This window comes from Homo sapiens, chromosome 10 (assembly GCF_000001405.40).
Source record: "Homo sapiens chromosome 10, GRCh38.p14 Primary Assembly".
In the NCBI taxonomy this organism is placed as follows: Eukaryota; Metazoa; Chordata; class Mammalia; order Primates; family Hominidae; genus Homo; species Homo sapiens.
Genome location: NC_000010.11, coordinates 35,611,526 through 35,627,289, shown reverse-complemented (window position 1 = coordinate 35,627,289; position 15,764 = coordinate 35,611,526).

Genomic DNA, 15,764 nt, shown 5'->3' with positions numbered 1-15,764 from the left:
AAAATTCCCAAAGGATTTAGCAGTCTGAGACCAAAGATTGGATTTTTTCAAATCACACAGAAGCTTTTAAATCCAAGTTTAGTCTAATTAAAGGATGAATGTGGCGAATTCCGTGAAACTTTCCAACACCATCGTGTTGCGCCAACTCAAGAAGGATTAGTGCAAGACTCACACAGATGTTTCCAAATTCAATAAAGGAAGGGTGGGTCCGAAGTGAGTCAATAACCCAGTTTTCTAGGCCCCTAAAGTTACCAGTTGAGCTTACTATAAGCTGTTCATTAGCTTGTGCGAGAAGTGTCAAGTTAATGACAAAAGGTGTTAATTCCATTTGGGTTATCAGCGGTGTTATTTCCCGAGCACAATCAAGACTTTATCAAAACAATTGGATGCCATTCCACTCTTTATTTCATGGGATTTCCAGGTCTAAACTTTGCCTCCAAATCTGCTATAATTGTTTCTAAATCTACTATTGGAGACAGCCTACTGAACTTGGGCTGGGAACCAATTTGAGAAGCAGGTGAAGCATGTCTCTGGAGTAAACCCCCGCCCTCTTTCTGTGACCTTCTCTTAGGTGACTTCCATATTTCTCTCTCCAGTCCTGAGTGCCATTCTGTATCCTTTATTTACTGTGAAATGTGTTATTCATCTCTTGCTAACCCATCCCATCAAGACTCCAAGAAAATGAAAACAAAATACACATCCTGTCCATACCAGGCTTTCTGTGAGGTATAAAAAATATAATATAGAGAGTATGATTTATGTCCAAACACTGCCTAATAAGTAAAAATTGATTAAGAAAGGTTGGTGTTAGGCCGGGCACAGTGGCTCATGCCTGTAATCCCAAGGCAGGTGGATCATCTGAGGTCAGGAGTTCGAGACCAGCCTGGCCAACATGGTGAAACCCCGTCTCTACTAAAAATACAAAAATTGTCCAGGTGTGGTGGCATGCACCTGTAATCCCAGCTACTCAGGAGGCTGAGGCAGGAGAATTATTTGAATCTGAGAGGCAGAGGTTTCAGTGAGCCAAGATCGTGCCACTGTGCTCCAGCCTCAGCAACAGAGTGAGACTCAGTCTTAAAAAAATTATTAAAAAAAAAAAAAGAAGCGAAGCAATATTGGTGTTAGACAAATCAACAAGCAAAAAAAAAATTCCATTAAAAAGTGGATAAATGACATGAACAGACATTTCTCAAAAGAAGACATACATGCAACCAACAAGCATATGAAAAAATGCTCAACATCACTAATCATTAGGGAAATGTAAATCAAAGCCACAGTGAGATACTATCTCACACCAGTCTGAATCACTATTACTAAAAAGTCAAAAAACAATAGATGCTGGTGAGGTTGCAGAGAAGACAGAATGCTTCTACACTGCTGGTGGGAAGGTAAATTAGTTCAGCCACTGTGGAAAGCAGTGTGGAGATTTCTCAGAGAACTTAACATAGAAATACCATTCGACACAGCAATCTCATGAATGGGTATATACCCAGAGGAAAAAAGTCATCCTACCATAAAGATACGGACACACGCATGTTCATTGCAGCACTCTTCACAATAGCAAAGATATGGAATTAACCCAGATGCCCATCAACAGGGGATTAGATAAAGAAAATGTAATGCATATACACCATGGAATACTAAGCAGCCATCAAAAAGAAAGAAATCATGTCCTTTGCAGCAACATGGATAGAGCTGGAGACCGTTAACCTAAGCAAATTAATACATCAACAGAAAGCCATATTCCACATGTTCTTACTTATAAATGGAAGCTAAACATTGAGTCCACATGGACACAAAGAGAGAAACAACAGATGCCAGGGCCTACTTGAGGATGGAGGGTAGGAGGAAGGTTAGGATTGGAAAACTACCTTTTGGGTATTATGTTGATTACCTGAATTGCAAAATTATCTGTATATCAAACCCCTACAACAGGCAATTTACCTGTGTAACAAATCTGCACTTGTATCCCCAAACCTAAAATAAAAGTTAGAAAGAAAGAAAGAAGTGTTGGTGTCAGAAACACATCCAGGGTATTGGCAGAGTCCACCTGCCCAGGGAAGTTTTTCAACACCCCATTCATCCTACCACTGAGGAAGCTGCATAACTCCTTGACCTTGGCCTGACCCAAAGGAGTCTGCTGCACCTCTGATGGCCCCATTGGAGGTATGAAGTTGCTGACATGTCAGTTAGTCCTGACTTGGGCCCTTTAGTCCCCTCTGATCATACACTCACAAGGCAAACCACCATTCCCCCAAGTGTTCAAAGCCACCAGGCTCCATCCTGCACCCTAGCCAGCGTGCTGCTCCCCCAGCCTCTCTGCAACTCCAAACGCACTGTCCTGAACCTCTGGTCCTTGATCTCCTCAAGCACAGGAGCCGCCTGTCCCGCTGTTCCCTGCCTGGGCTCCCTTCTTTGTCTCTCGCTGTCTCTTACACAAACTTGGTCTTTGTGACTCCAGTCTGTTCTCCTTTTCTTCCTCTTGCCTCTTTGGTGCCAACTCTTTCTCCCCTCCAACCCCGTGAAGTCCACACAGGCCCTCATTTCATATTCCCCCTCCTTTTCTCATCATTTCTCTAAGCTGTCATGCTCAACAGTGGGTAATGAGCTGACACAGGGAGGCCTTCTGCCGGCCTTCTTCCCAAGGCATTTGGATGGTAAAAGGGATCCCAGCTTCAAGACTTAATTCAAAACCTGAGTCGTTGGTGGGTAATTTTTTTTTTTTTTTTTTTTTTTTTTTGAGCCAGAGTTTCGCTCTGCTACCCAGGCTGGAGTGCAGTGGTGTGATCTCGGCTCACTACAACCTCTACTTCCCGGTTTCAAGCAATTCTCCTACCTCAGCCTCCCAAGTAGCTGGAACTACAAGCACCTTTCACCACACCTGGCTAATTTTGTATTTTTAGTAAAGACAGGGTTTCACCATGTTGGCCAGGCTGGTCTCGAACTCCTGACCTCAAGTGATCCACCTGCCTTGGCCCCCCAAAGTGCTGGGATTACAGGCATGAGCTACTGTGCACAGCTTTGGTGGGTAATTTCAAATACCAACCATAAGTGGGTCCTACCCAACTAGAAAAAAATTCCAAGAGTTACAGACATAACATTTCACACCTCTGTCTTAATGGCTTGCTAGGGGAGGTTTTACATCACTTTTGGTATTTAAGTTCTATAAAAAGACAATGATATAGTTTGGAAGTTTGTCCCTTCCAAAACTCATGTTGAAATGGGGTCCCCAGTGTTGGAGGTGGGGCCTGGTGGGAGGTGTTTAGGTCATGGGGGTGGATCCCTCTTGAATGCCTTGGTGCCCTTCCATGGTAGTGAGTGAGTTCTCACTCTGTTCGTTCATGCTAGAGCTGGTTGTTTAAAGAACCCTGGCATCTCTTGCTCTCTCTCTTGCCCTTTGATGCACCTGCTTCCCTTTCATCTTCTGCCATGAGTGGAAGCCTCCTGAGGCTTTCCCAAAAGCAAATGCTGGCACCATGCTTCCTATACAGCTTGTAGAACCATGAGCCAAATAAACCTTTTTTCCTTATAAACTACCCAGTTTCAAGTGTTCCCTTATAGTAACACAAATGGACTAATACATGTAATTAACAAGGTTTAATTTACTCATGCCCAGAGCAGATTCTGTGCATGCTGGGAATCCGATAAAGGGACCAAGTGCATGCAAACTTCTACACACTTGATAGGAAGAGAGAAGCACTGGATGCATTCTCAGCTTGCGAATCCTCTTATGATTACAAAATCAGAAGTTGGCAAAGGTAATCCATAAGCATCCTCTCTCTGTTCTTGGACCAGAAAAAAAGTGATGAAAAAGCCTTGAGCAAGCCAAGGGTTGATTAAGGTGTGGGAAGGGCTTTTCTCCCGTTATAAGCCAAAAGCTTGCAAGGGGCGGTAGGGTGTGGAGAAAGAACAAAAGGTTTTTTTGTTGTTGTTTTTTGTTTTTGTTGGTTTTGTTTTTGTTTTGAGACAGAGTCTCACTCTGTCACCCAGGCTGGAGTGCAGCGCAATCTCGGCTCACTGCAACCTCCACCTCCCAGGTCCAAGCGATTCTCCTGCCTCAGTCTCCCAAGTAGCTCGAATTACAGGTGCGCACCACCATGCCCAGCTAATTTTTGTATTTTTAGTAGAGGCGGGGTTTCACCATGTTGCCCAGGCTGGTCATGAACTCCTGACCTCAAGTGATCCTCCTCCCTTGGCCTCCCAAAGTGCTGAGATTATAGGTGTGAGCCACTGCTCCTGGCCGAGAACACGAGTTTTCAAAGTCACATCTAGATTCTGACTCCAGTTTCCTCCTGTGTGTGGCCCTGAGAAAATTACCAGTGAGGCTCAGTTTCCTCATCTGTAAAATAGAGCTCATGGGGCTACTGAGAGGATTGAATGCCTGGACCTGTGCTCTCAGTATGCAGTAGGCACTCAATGAACACCCTCCTCCTCCAGCCATGGGATACCAGGTGATTTTTTGTGTGTTCCTGGTCAGCTTCCTTCCCCAGTCCTTACAGCAGCTATTGCAATAGCTAACTTGACTCTTCCCAAAGCTGCTATTCTTGGTGCCTCAACCCTCTCCCCTACCACACTGGCCTCTAGAAACCCCTCATCCTGCAATGAACAGCCTCGTTTGCTCCCATCTTTGCCCCTTTCCTCTGAAGGAGTCTTCTCCCTTCTCCTCAAAGCCAATCCCGTGACCTGTGTTCTCTGTTGGATCCTCTGTCAACTCTCGCAACTATTCTGTTATTGCTTCCCTCTTTACCTTCTGCCTACAAACCTTCCCTGTGTGCTGCCTCTGCCTCATGGGCTTTGCATTTCTCTTATATCAAAACTAATTCAGGCTGGGCATGACGGCTCACTCCTTTAATGTCAACACTTTGAGAGGCCAGACAGGAGGCTCACTTGAGGCCAGGCGTTCAAGACCAGCCTGGGCAACATAGCAAGACTCTGTCTGTACAAAAATTTAAAAGTTTTTAAAAATTAGCTGGGCATGGTGGCATGCACCTTTAGTCCTAGTTACTCAGAAGGCTGAGGTGGGAGGATCACCTGAGTCTGGGAGGTTGTGGCTGCAGTGAGCCAAGATCATGCCACTGCACTCCACCCTGAGTAACAGAGTGAGACCCTGTCTCTAAAAATAAATACATAAAGTAAAATAAAATAAACTCAAAAAATTGTTGATTGAACACCTATCCGGTCCTGACACTACACCATATATGGAGGCTACAGTGGGAACTTGGACTTTGCAGAACATCCCCTATTCACAGTTTCCTCAACTGTACATGGAGTCCCACTATAAAACTGTGCCTGTCTCAAAGGGGTGTGATGATGGGTTAAATTAGAAAGTCCAGACAAGGCACAAAACGCTGCCTGGTACATGGTAGGTCCTCATTTCATGTTAGAATGCAGCGAGAAATACAGTAAGGTAAACAGGAAGTCAGGAAACGGGGTGGAATGTGGTGGGCAGAGAGAAGTCCCCATCGAATGTCTTCTCTGTCCATAGGAAGCGAGGCCACCTGCCAAGGTGTGAGAAGAGCAGAAGAGGCTTACATGGATGATGGGAAGCTCGGACAGTGAATGAATTAGGAACATGGAGGTGAGGATACAGTGCTGGAGGCCCTCCTGGAGACCACAAATGTAGAATGGCACCAATTTGGTGCTTGGACCATTGTCTCCAAAAAGGCCAGCCACTGGGCATCCCCTCCAGCCACACGTTCTTCCCAGCACTTGACGAGCTGTCCCTGGAACGCCTTGTGTATTTGCGTCTAGAGAGTAAAATTGGCAGCCGGGCACAGTGGCTCACACCTGTAATCCCAGCACTTTGGGAGGCCAAGGCAGGAGAATCACTTGAACCCGGGAGGCAGAGGTTGCAGTGAGCCAAGATTGCGCAACTGCACTCCAGCCTGGGAGACAGAGCGAGACTCTGTCTCAAAATAAAATAAAATAAAATAAAATAAAATAAAATAAAATAAATATATGTATATATGTATGTGTATATATTAGCATGCTGAAATTTAAACAATATTTCCCAAAAAAGTAAATTTAACCTGGCAACAACAACAGAAATGGAAACAACAGCGTAAGGATGGTATTTAAAAAAAAGAAAAATCCATTTAACACCAACTCATTCATGCTTACAAAAATAGCGTTAAGTAAATAAGTAACTCTGCTCTTTCCATCAAATAAGATAGTGTAGGACACCAGAATGTTCCCCTCTCGGAATGACATAGAAATACAAGGGAGGGACACGGGGGTCCAGGGAAAGGCTAATTTGGTCAGAGAAGGAGGCAGCTCTGTAGGCTCACCTGGGGCAGATCCAGACGGTCCATCCCTCAGAGGTTGTAGGTGGAAACCTGGGTGGTATCAGGAGAGGAAACACAGGACAAGAGCTTGGAGTTTAACAGAAATATGTCTGCACAGGCTGGGCGTGGTGGCTCACACCTGTCATCCCAGCACTTTGGGAGGCTGAGGCAGGAGGATCACTTGAGGTCCGAAGTTCCAGACTAGCCTGGCCAACATGGAGAAACCACATCTCTGCTAAAAATACAAAAATTAGCTGGGCATGGTGGTGGACGCCTGTAATCCCAGCGACTCAGGAGGCTGAGGCAGGAGAATCACTTGAACTTGGGAGGCAGATGTTGTAGTGAGCCAAGATTGCACCACTGCACTTCTGCCTGGGCAACAGAGCAAGACTGTGTCTCAAAAAAAAAAAAAAAAGGGAGAAGAAAAGAAAAGAAACAGAAAAGAAACATGTCAGCACAGATATTTGAGAACCTCAGGAACACCATAGATCTGCTGTTTGTCCCACTGACCTGGTCACCACACAGGGTAAATAAATCAGGGCAGTTTTGCTGTAAGATCTGCTTCTTCAGCTGGAAAACAAAAGAATTCACCCCCCTGGGAGTGATCGTAGGGATCCTGCTATCCTTCCTGATGCCACCTGCTTTCCCTGTCCCTTAGGGTCACCAAGGAGGTGTGGGGTTGTCTGAAGCAGAGGGAGACTGGGCAGCCACACCCAAGGACTCGAAAGCGGCTCTGTGTGATGATTCCACAATCTGTCTCCAGCCAAACTCCTCTCTGTGCTCGGATCCAGCAGTCCAACTTCCTACTCAGCATCTCCTCCAAAATACCCCAAAGGCAACTTCACCTTGACATTTCTACACCAGAAACTGACCGGGCGTGGTGGCTCATGCCTGTAATTCCAGCACTTTAGGAGGCCAAGGCAGGAGGATTACTCGAGCCCAGGAATTCAAGACCAGCCTGGGCAACATAGCAAGACCCCATCTCTAAAAAAAAAAAAAAAATTAAAAACTAGCTGGATATGGTGGTGCATGCCCATAGTCTCAGCTACTCAGGAGGCTGAAGTGGGAGGATCACGTGTCCCCAGGAGTTCAAGGCTGCAGTGAGTTATGGTCATACCACTGCACTCAGCCTGGGTGACAGAGCAAGACCCTGTCTCTAAAAAATAATGGTAATAAAATAAATTGTAAAAATAAAAAAAAACAACAGAAACTATCAGCAATCCATCTCCTCCTCCAGGGTGTTCTACTTGGGTGAATATGACTATATTAGTCTGTTCTCTCACTGTTAATAAAGACATAGCCCAGACTGGGTAATTTATAAAGAAATAGAGGTTTAATGGACTCACTGTTGCACATGGCTGGGGAGGCCTCACAATCATGGTGGAAGGCAAAGGAAAAGCAAAGGCACATCTTACATGGTGGCAGACAAGACAGCGTGTACAGGGGAACTGCCCTTTATTAAACCATCAGATCTCATCAGACTTATTCATATAACAAGAACAGCATGGGAAAGACCCACCCTGATAATTCAATTACCTCTACTAGGTCCCTGCCATGATATGTGGGGATTATGGGAGCTAATGAGATTTGGGTGGGGACACAGCCAAACCATATCATATGCTGGCACCATGCTTCCTATACAGCTTGCAGAATCATGAGCCAAATAAACCTCTTTTCCTTATAAATTACCCAGCTTCAGGTGTTCCTTTATAGCAATACAAATGGACTAATACAGGCAAAGTTCATCGGGGACCAAAAAAATTAACCCAGGCTCTCCTCCCTCTTCCTCATTCCTGCCCCCCATCCCCTGATCCAGCCAGTCACAAAGCCTTGCATATTCCCTGGATATCTGCCTCCCTCCTCCCCAGGCGAGGATGGGCCTGAGTACCTCGAAGCTGAAATAGAGCAGATCCGGCAGGGGGCCGGGGGAATATGGGAAGACCATCTCTTCATCAAAGCAGTGGGGAGCCACAGGCTGGAATGGTACATTTGGGTTTCTGTGTTTAATCTGGACTGAAATGTATTCCAGAAAGGTAATTTCCTCATTTATGGAGGAAAATTAAGTTTTAAAAATCACAACGTAAAAGCTGCACATAGCTGATCAAGCACCTTTAAAAGTTGGCTCAATTTGTGAAGCTTATTGAACTTAAATTCTCAAGCATGTGAGCATAACTACTTTAATAACTGGTTAATTACTAACATGTAATTAACATGCTTCATCTATGACTGTTAAACACGCTTGTGGAAAACGTCACTGAGGCTCACTAGGGAGAGCTCAGGTACCCTGGCTACCTAGAGGGAGGTTCCTGAAGTTCAAGACAAAGCGCCAGAGAGAAACAGCATCTTCAAGTTTAGTGGTTTTTGGTTTTTGTTGTTGTTGTTCTTATTGTTGTTGTTGTTTTTTGAGACAGAGTCTCGCTCTGTTGCCCAGGCTGGAGTGCAGTGGCACGATCTCGGCTCACCACAAGCTCCGCCTCCCAGGTTCACACCATTCTCCTGACTCAGCCTCCCGAGTAGCTGGGACTATAGGCGCCCGCCACCATGCCCGGCTAATTTTTTTTTTTTTGTATTTTTAGTAGAGACGGGGTTTCACTGTGTTAGCCAGGATGGTCTCAATCTCCTGACCTCATGATCCACCCACCTCAGCCTCCCAAAGTGCTGGGATTACAGGCATGAGCCACCACGCCTGGCCTTTTCTTTCTTTCTTTTTTTTTTTTTTGAGAGATGGGGTCTCACTATGTTGCCCAGATTGGTCTCAAACTCCTGGCTTCCAGCAGTCCTTCTACCTGAGCTTTCTGAGTAGCTGAGATTACAGGCACAAGCCACTACACCCCGCTGGTTTAGCATCACAAGATCAACCTGTGAAATTATGGCAGCTTCACAAATAGTAATCTGCATGTGGTTGACACTATTAATAGCTTAATAATCCATTGAGAATGTATGTGAACTTAATTTTTAGGCTGGAAGCAGTGGCTCACACCTATAATCTCAGCATTTTGGGAGGCTGAGGCAGGAGGCTCCCTTCAGCCCAGGAAGTCAAGACCAGCCTGGGCAACACAGTAAGACCCCATCTCTACAAAAACATTTCTTTTTATATTAGTTGGGGATGGTGGCGCGTGTCTGTAGTCCCAGCTACTTGGGAGGCTGAGGCAGGAGGATCATATGTGCCTAGGAATTTGAGGCTGCAGCGAGCTTTGATCACACCACTGCACTCAGCCTGGACAGCAGAGAGAAACACTGTTCCTAAATTTTAAAAATTAAAAATTTCTAGAAAACTATTTAAAGGAAATAATCCAAAATGTGAAGGAAAATCCTGTGTACCCATGCTGTGTTATTTTGTAACATCAAAAGGCTAGCAGTATTTTGTTCAACAGAGGCTGGGGCAGATGATCAGACAGCCATCGCTTCATAGACTCCTGCCACCATTCGAAGTGGTAAGTTATGAAGACTGGAGAACCATGGAAAATGTGTATGATGTATTAGCAAGTGAAAAACACAGAATGGACATAATACAAATACAACTATAAATTTTAAAACCTAAGAGGCTAAGAATATAAACAGGTTGATATGTTATTTAGGGAGGATGGGGCATTATTTCTAAACTTCTGTGTTTTTATATTTCTATCATAATTGTCTAACTTCAAGAAATGATTGCCACTGTAATCTGTCATCAAAAACCAATTCTATTCTTATTCTATAGGTCACCTGCAGACCCTTCATATTGCCTCAAATGACACTATTAAAAATGCATTCTGGGCTGGGTGTGGTGGCTCACACCTGTAATCCCAACACTTTGGGAGGCTGAGGCAGGATAATTGCTTGAGACCAGGAGTTTGAGACCAGCCTGGGCAACACAGTGAGAACTCATCTTTACAAAAAATGTTTTAAAATAAAAAGATTAGCTAGGCCTGTAGTCCTAGCTACTCAGGAGGCTAAGGCGGTAGGCTCACTTCAGCCCAGGAGTTTGTGGCTGCAGTGAGCTATGATCACACCATTGTATTCCAGCCTGGGCGACAGAGCAAGACCCTGTCTCTGAAAAATAAAAAAACAGAGATGCATTCTATTGGGCCCCTGAGCCCTCTGTTAATTTGCTGATGCTCCTAGAAAGCTTATACATTAAGCTGTTGTGAGCAGTAATCCCTTCTACCCGATGACCTTCAAGAAAGCAACCTGGAGCAATGGAATTCTAGAGCCAAAACCTGCTCAGAATGAGAAGATTTAGCCACCAATTGACCAGATTGTTTTAGACGAGTTACATCGCCTTCCTGCACCTTCATTTTTCAGGTGTGAAATGAGCTAGAGTCAAGTCACCAATTTCCCTGGCAAGTTGAGGACGCTATGATGGGACTCGGGCTCAGGAGGTTCTTGAGGGGCACAGTCTGGGTGAGGAGCCATGGTTAGACAGGCAGTGAGGGGGCAGTGCCTGAGGGAGGGGCGCCAAAGGGAGTCGGGGTCACAGGAGGGTATAGGAGGATAACACCAAATCCCAGCTTCTCCCATGCCCCAGCGGAGTGATGCAGGCAGCGCCCCCATTCCTTTACTTGATGCAAGAAGCTTTGCTGTCTGACTCAATGTTGGCTGACTTACAAAAATATAAAAGTTTCAATATTCAAGTCTGAGACATGAAATTTAATTTTGTATCATATGCTGCCTTCATATAGTTCCCATTTATTTCTTGGAAAGAGATCCTTAAATGTATGTATAGTCTTTCCTTATCACTCTCTTGCCCCTCATCCCATGCCTTGCACAAGCATCACCTACATCAAAGATGCTCAACAAATGTGCAGAATGAGTCATCCTCAATGTTTACACTTATCTTACTTCCAAAGGGGTAAAAACCCCTTAATCCACATTCCGACAGGAAATATCATTTCATATTTCCAAGTAGAAGAGATGACATTTTTGTTTCATAGATAAGAAATAAAGGTACACAAAGAAAAGCTCATGTTTGCAGAGTCCTTAGCTAATGAGACAATGAAAATATTTCCTAGTCCATTGAGTACAAGTCTTTTTTTTTTCAGAGACAGGGTCTCACTCTGTCACCCAGGCTGGAGTGCAGTGGCACAATCATAGCTCACTGCAGCCTCAAACTCCTGGGCTTAAGTAATCCTCCCACCTCAGCCTCCCGTGTAGCTAGGACTTATTGTTTTTTACTTTTTGTAGAGACAGGGTCTTGCTATGTTGCCCAGGCTGGTCCTGACCTCCTGGCCTCAGTCAAACCTCAAACTTCAGCTTTCCAAAGTCCCAAAGTGGTGGGATGACAGATGTGAGCCCCACACCCTGGCCCCATTGAGTGATGTCTTTTTTTTTTTTTTTCTGGAGACAGGGTATCACTCTGTACTCTGGAGGGCACTCCAGGCTGGAGTGCAGTGGCGTGACCACAGCTCACTGCAGCCTCGACCTCCCTGGGCTCAGGTGATCCTCCCTCATCAGCCTCCCAAGTAGCTGGGAACACAGGTGTGCATCATCTTGACCAGCTGCTTTTTGTAGTAATTTTTGTAGAGACAGGGTCTTGCTATGTTGCCCAGACTGATCCTGAACTCATGACCTCAAGCAATCCTCCCGCTTCAGCCTCCCAAAGTGTTGGGATTACAGGTGTGAGCCACTGCACTCAGCCCCATTGAATGCATGTCTTAACCACTCTATTAACTTCTCTCTAAAGAAGCATTTTGGCCACACAACAAAATTTGATGAACTTGCTTTAGCATAAGACTTTTAAAATTTTTCCTTAAAATGACCAATCCCACAAACTACATCTATAAAATTACTGAATTTTCATTTCTGAAGGAAATAGCACTAGATATGCTTAGTTTAAACTTTAATAACACCTGAGGTTTTTTTTCCATATCAAATATCCCAGGTAAGGAAGACCAGTTGATAGACATTTAATTGCTTCACAAATATCATTTCTGAGATCAAAAGCACGTTAACTTTTTTTTTTTTTTTGAGACAGAGTCACACTCTGTCGCCCAGGCTTGAGGGCAGTGGTACCATCTCAGCTCACTGCAACCCCCACCTCCTGGGTTCAAGAGATTCTCGGGCCTCAGCCTCCCAGGTAGCTGAGATTACAGGTACCCAGCACCATGCCCGGCTAATATTTTTAGTAGAGACAGAGTCCTTCACCATGCTGGCCAGGCTGCTCTCGAGCTCCTGACCTCAGGTGATCCGACCGCCTCAGCCTCCTATAGTGCTGGGATTACAGTCGTGAGCCACCATGCCCAGCCAAAAGCACTTTAACTTTCTAAAGCAACAAGAAAAGGGGGGAAGTTTCTCAAATGTAAAATAACACATCATTTCATAAACCGAGGGGAGGAAAATCTTATACACTTTGCAGGGACTTTATTTGACAAGTTACAGCCAAGAGGGTGTTTTTGTTGCTGTTTAGTAAACAGCTGGAAGGAGGAATCTGAAATGAGGAAGAGAGGATATCTGTGCTCTGTTGGCAGGTGCACTAGACAGCCTCCCGAGCAGCCACACCGTGTGGGTGTGCAAGCTCTACCAGTTCCACCACTGTCTCTCTCACCTGTCATCTTTTATTACAAATCTGCAGCACAAGCCACACCTTTGCAGCTTGCAGCCTGATCAGGTAAAAAGCCAGAGAAAAGGACAACCAAACACTTGTGGGCAAAAATAAAGAAAATAATTCGAATTAACAAGCTGCCTCTGAACCCCGAAAAGATAAATCATTGTCTTGTTCAATTAGTCCCTTCCCAGGAAGCCAGCTTGCCCACAATTTCTCCATTATCCCCAACTTTCTCACCCATTCTGCTATTCAAAGTCACCTACTAGAATACCCAGATCCATTGCTGAGAATTCTTAGATCCTGCTTTTTCTGGCCAGAGAGAAATAAGAAAGAAGAATGAAAAGAATGAGCTCATGAACACGGTCAAGAGGTACCACCAGAATTAATTAACATTTTATTTTGGAGCTTACAAATATTGCACCTTAAATATGGTCCAAGAGAGGCCTCTGCTGGTAAGAGAGAGTGCAGGAAGGACGTTGCAATGTCCTAAGTCTGTGGACATCCTTCTCCCCCAAGCAAGCGTTGTACATCACACATTCCCAAAGAGAAGCATTTGCAGTGATCTGTCCAAGCATTGGTGATTTTGCAGCCTAGGAAGCACCTACGATGACACATGGCTATGTCCCTCTCAGGGGCTTCCACGTCCACCATCTCATCTGAACTTCCCAGCAAGCCCATGAAGTAAGGTAGCTGTGATCTGCCCATCTCAGCACTGAGAAGATTAAGGTTCACAGGAGTTGGGGGAATCAGGCAGAACCGAAACAATGACCTTTTGCTTAAACTCTTCCCACCACAGGTTGCTGATGCTTATGTGATAAGTCGATTATTTTTTTCTTTTTTAAGACAGGGTCTTGTTCTGTCACCCAGGCTGGAGTGTGGTGGCACGATTGTAGCTCACTGCAGCCTCAAACTAAGCTACAGTGATCCCTCTACCTTAGCCTCGTAAGTAGCGGAGACCACAGGTGCGTGCCACCAAGCATGGCCAAGTTTTGTTTTGTTTTGTTTTGTTGTTTTGCTGTGTTGCCCAGGCTGGTCTTGATCTCCTGGGCTCAAGCAATCCTCCCACCTCGGTCTCCCTAAGTGATGGGATTATAGGCATGAGCCACTGAGCCTGGCAGGTTGATTTTTTTTTTTTTTTAGCTCCATAGAAAAAAAAACAGGAAAGGAAAAGAACCAAAAAATTAACTTCTAGGTGCAGGGTCATGCCAGTTGGGCGTACTCTTTATAATCACCTGATCTTTTAAAGGTGTCATGCACTTCTCTGTTTCACCCACCTGGGGAGGGAGGAAACTCCAAAACCAAAATCTAGTTTTTCCATTGACTTTTAATTTCCTGGATTCTCCATGAAACACCTTCCAACCAGGTTCAGTTTATCAGAACATGTAGTCCCTTCTTTTGGCTCTGCTGTGTGCCCCTCCCATCTGCCCCTCTCAGGTCACAGAGATGGAGCTCAACTAGAAATTTCCCCGAGAAAGAGGTTTGCTCTCTGATGGACAAACAGATCAAAGCTCTGTTTGCTCTGAGGGAGCAAACAGATCAAAGCATGCATTTCGAATGCAGGGAGAAAGCTATCTGTTTTGTCCCTAGGAAACATTTATCCCACAGCACAGCCAAAATACAGCTGGTGAGATTTACTAGATTCTGTTGCTGGCCCCACTCCTAGAGCTGGAGTGTTGGGGTCCACAGTGGGAGGTGTGTACATTGCAGAGGATCTTTAGCAAATTTGTGCCTGAGAAATCCAATGTCCCCTCTCCTCATCTGTAAAGCAACCCCCTCCTCAGCACTTCTTACCTGAAACCAAAATTACACTCAGAAAATTCAAAATAGGTTCCCTCAGCGGATTGCAATATCCTACCAAAACAGAGTCACATCTGTTAATTCTATAAATGCTGTTCTCGGCTAAGCACAAACTGCTTTATAAGCATAATCTCACTGATCTTCATAATCTTTCATTTTGTCTCTGCAGGTAGCCAGCTGCACGTGTCAAGCCAGAGCTTGAATTGCCATTAGAATCCACCTACAGATTGCCCTGGGAAGAGATTTCTAAATTAAACTCCCCAGAAAGTTAGACGCCAATTATCTCATGAGATTTTTGTGCTGTGCAAAGACCAAAGAGCTCAACTAAAACCCCAACGTGCACACACTTAAACCAATTAAGATCCCTTTTTATTTAAAATGATTGTAATTAAGAGGACACTCCCTCAATATGAGATTTGGGTTCTGTGCCTAATTCAGTCAGTTGTCTTTGTCCTTGTCACCTCCTTTCTCTTCTCTCCACCACCATCTGAGGACCTGAGCCAATGGCCCTGCTCAGCTTTCCCTAGAGACCAGTTTGTTGGTCACTAGGATTTATTAAATGCCTCTTACAGGGCAGGTGCCCAGATAATAATTGCTGCCTTAGGCAAACACTGGCTACCTGTTCACCCCAACTTTTCCTCCTTCTTTCTGCGCATGTAGCTAAGCCACCTTTCATAGCTTCCCTTGCAGCTGGGACTGAGTTCTACTTAGAGAACGTGGCCAGCGCCATCTCGAGGCCAGGCCTAGGGAGCCCCTATTGTCCTCCCCGCAAGAAATCAGTAACATGAGCAGAAGATGTTGGTGCCACAGGATGGAGGGGTCCCTGAGTCACCACCTGGAGCATAGCTGCTCACACCAGGAATAGACACTTTGTACTCATTGAGGCTTCTTCTGCATTAAGTGGCTAAAATTGGGGTTTGCCGGTTATTGCAGCTGCAATTACATTAACTTGCACAGTCTCTGCCCTAAGCCATAGGATCCTCCTTAACTGTCTGTGGAAGGGATGCAGACATGCGAGCCATTTTTCAGTCATTCGGTGTCAACATGCAAAGACACGGATTGAAGTCTGGAAAAGGAAGATGGAAGCCACATGATTTTCTACTGTTTTTAGCCTTTTGAATATAGTCTAAGATTTTTTTTCCCCTCTCCCTTTAAAGGAC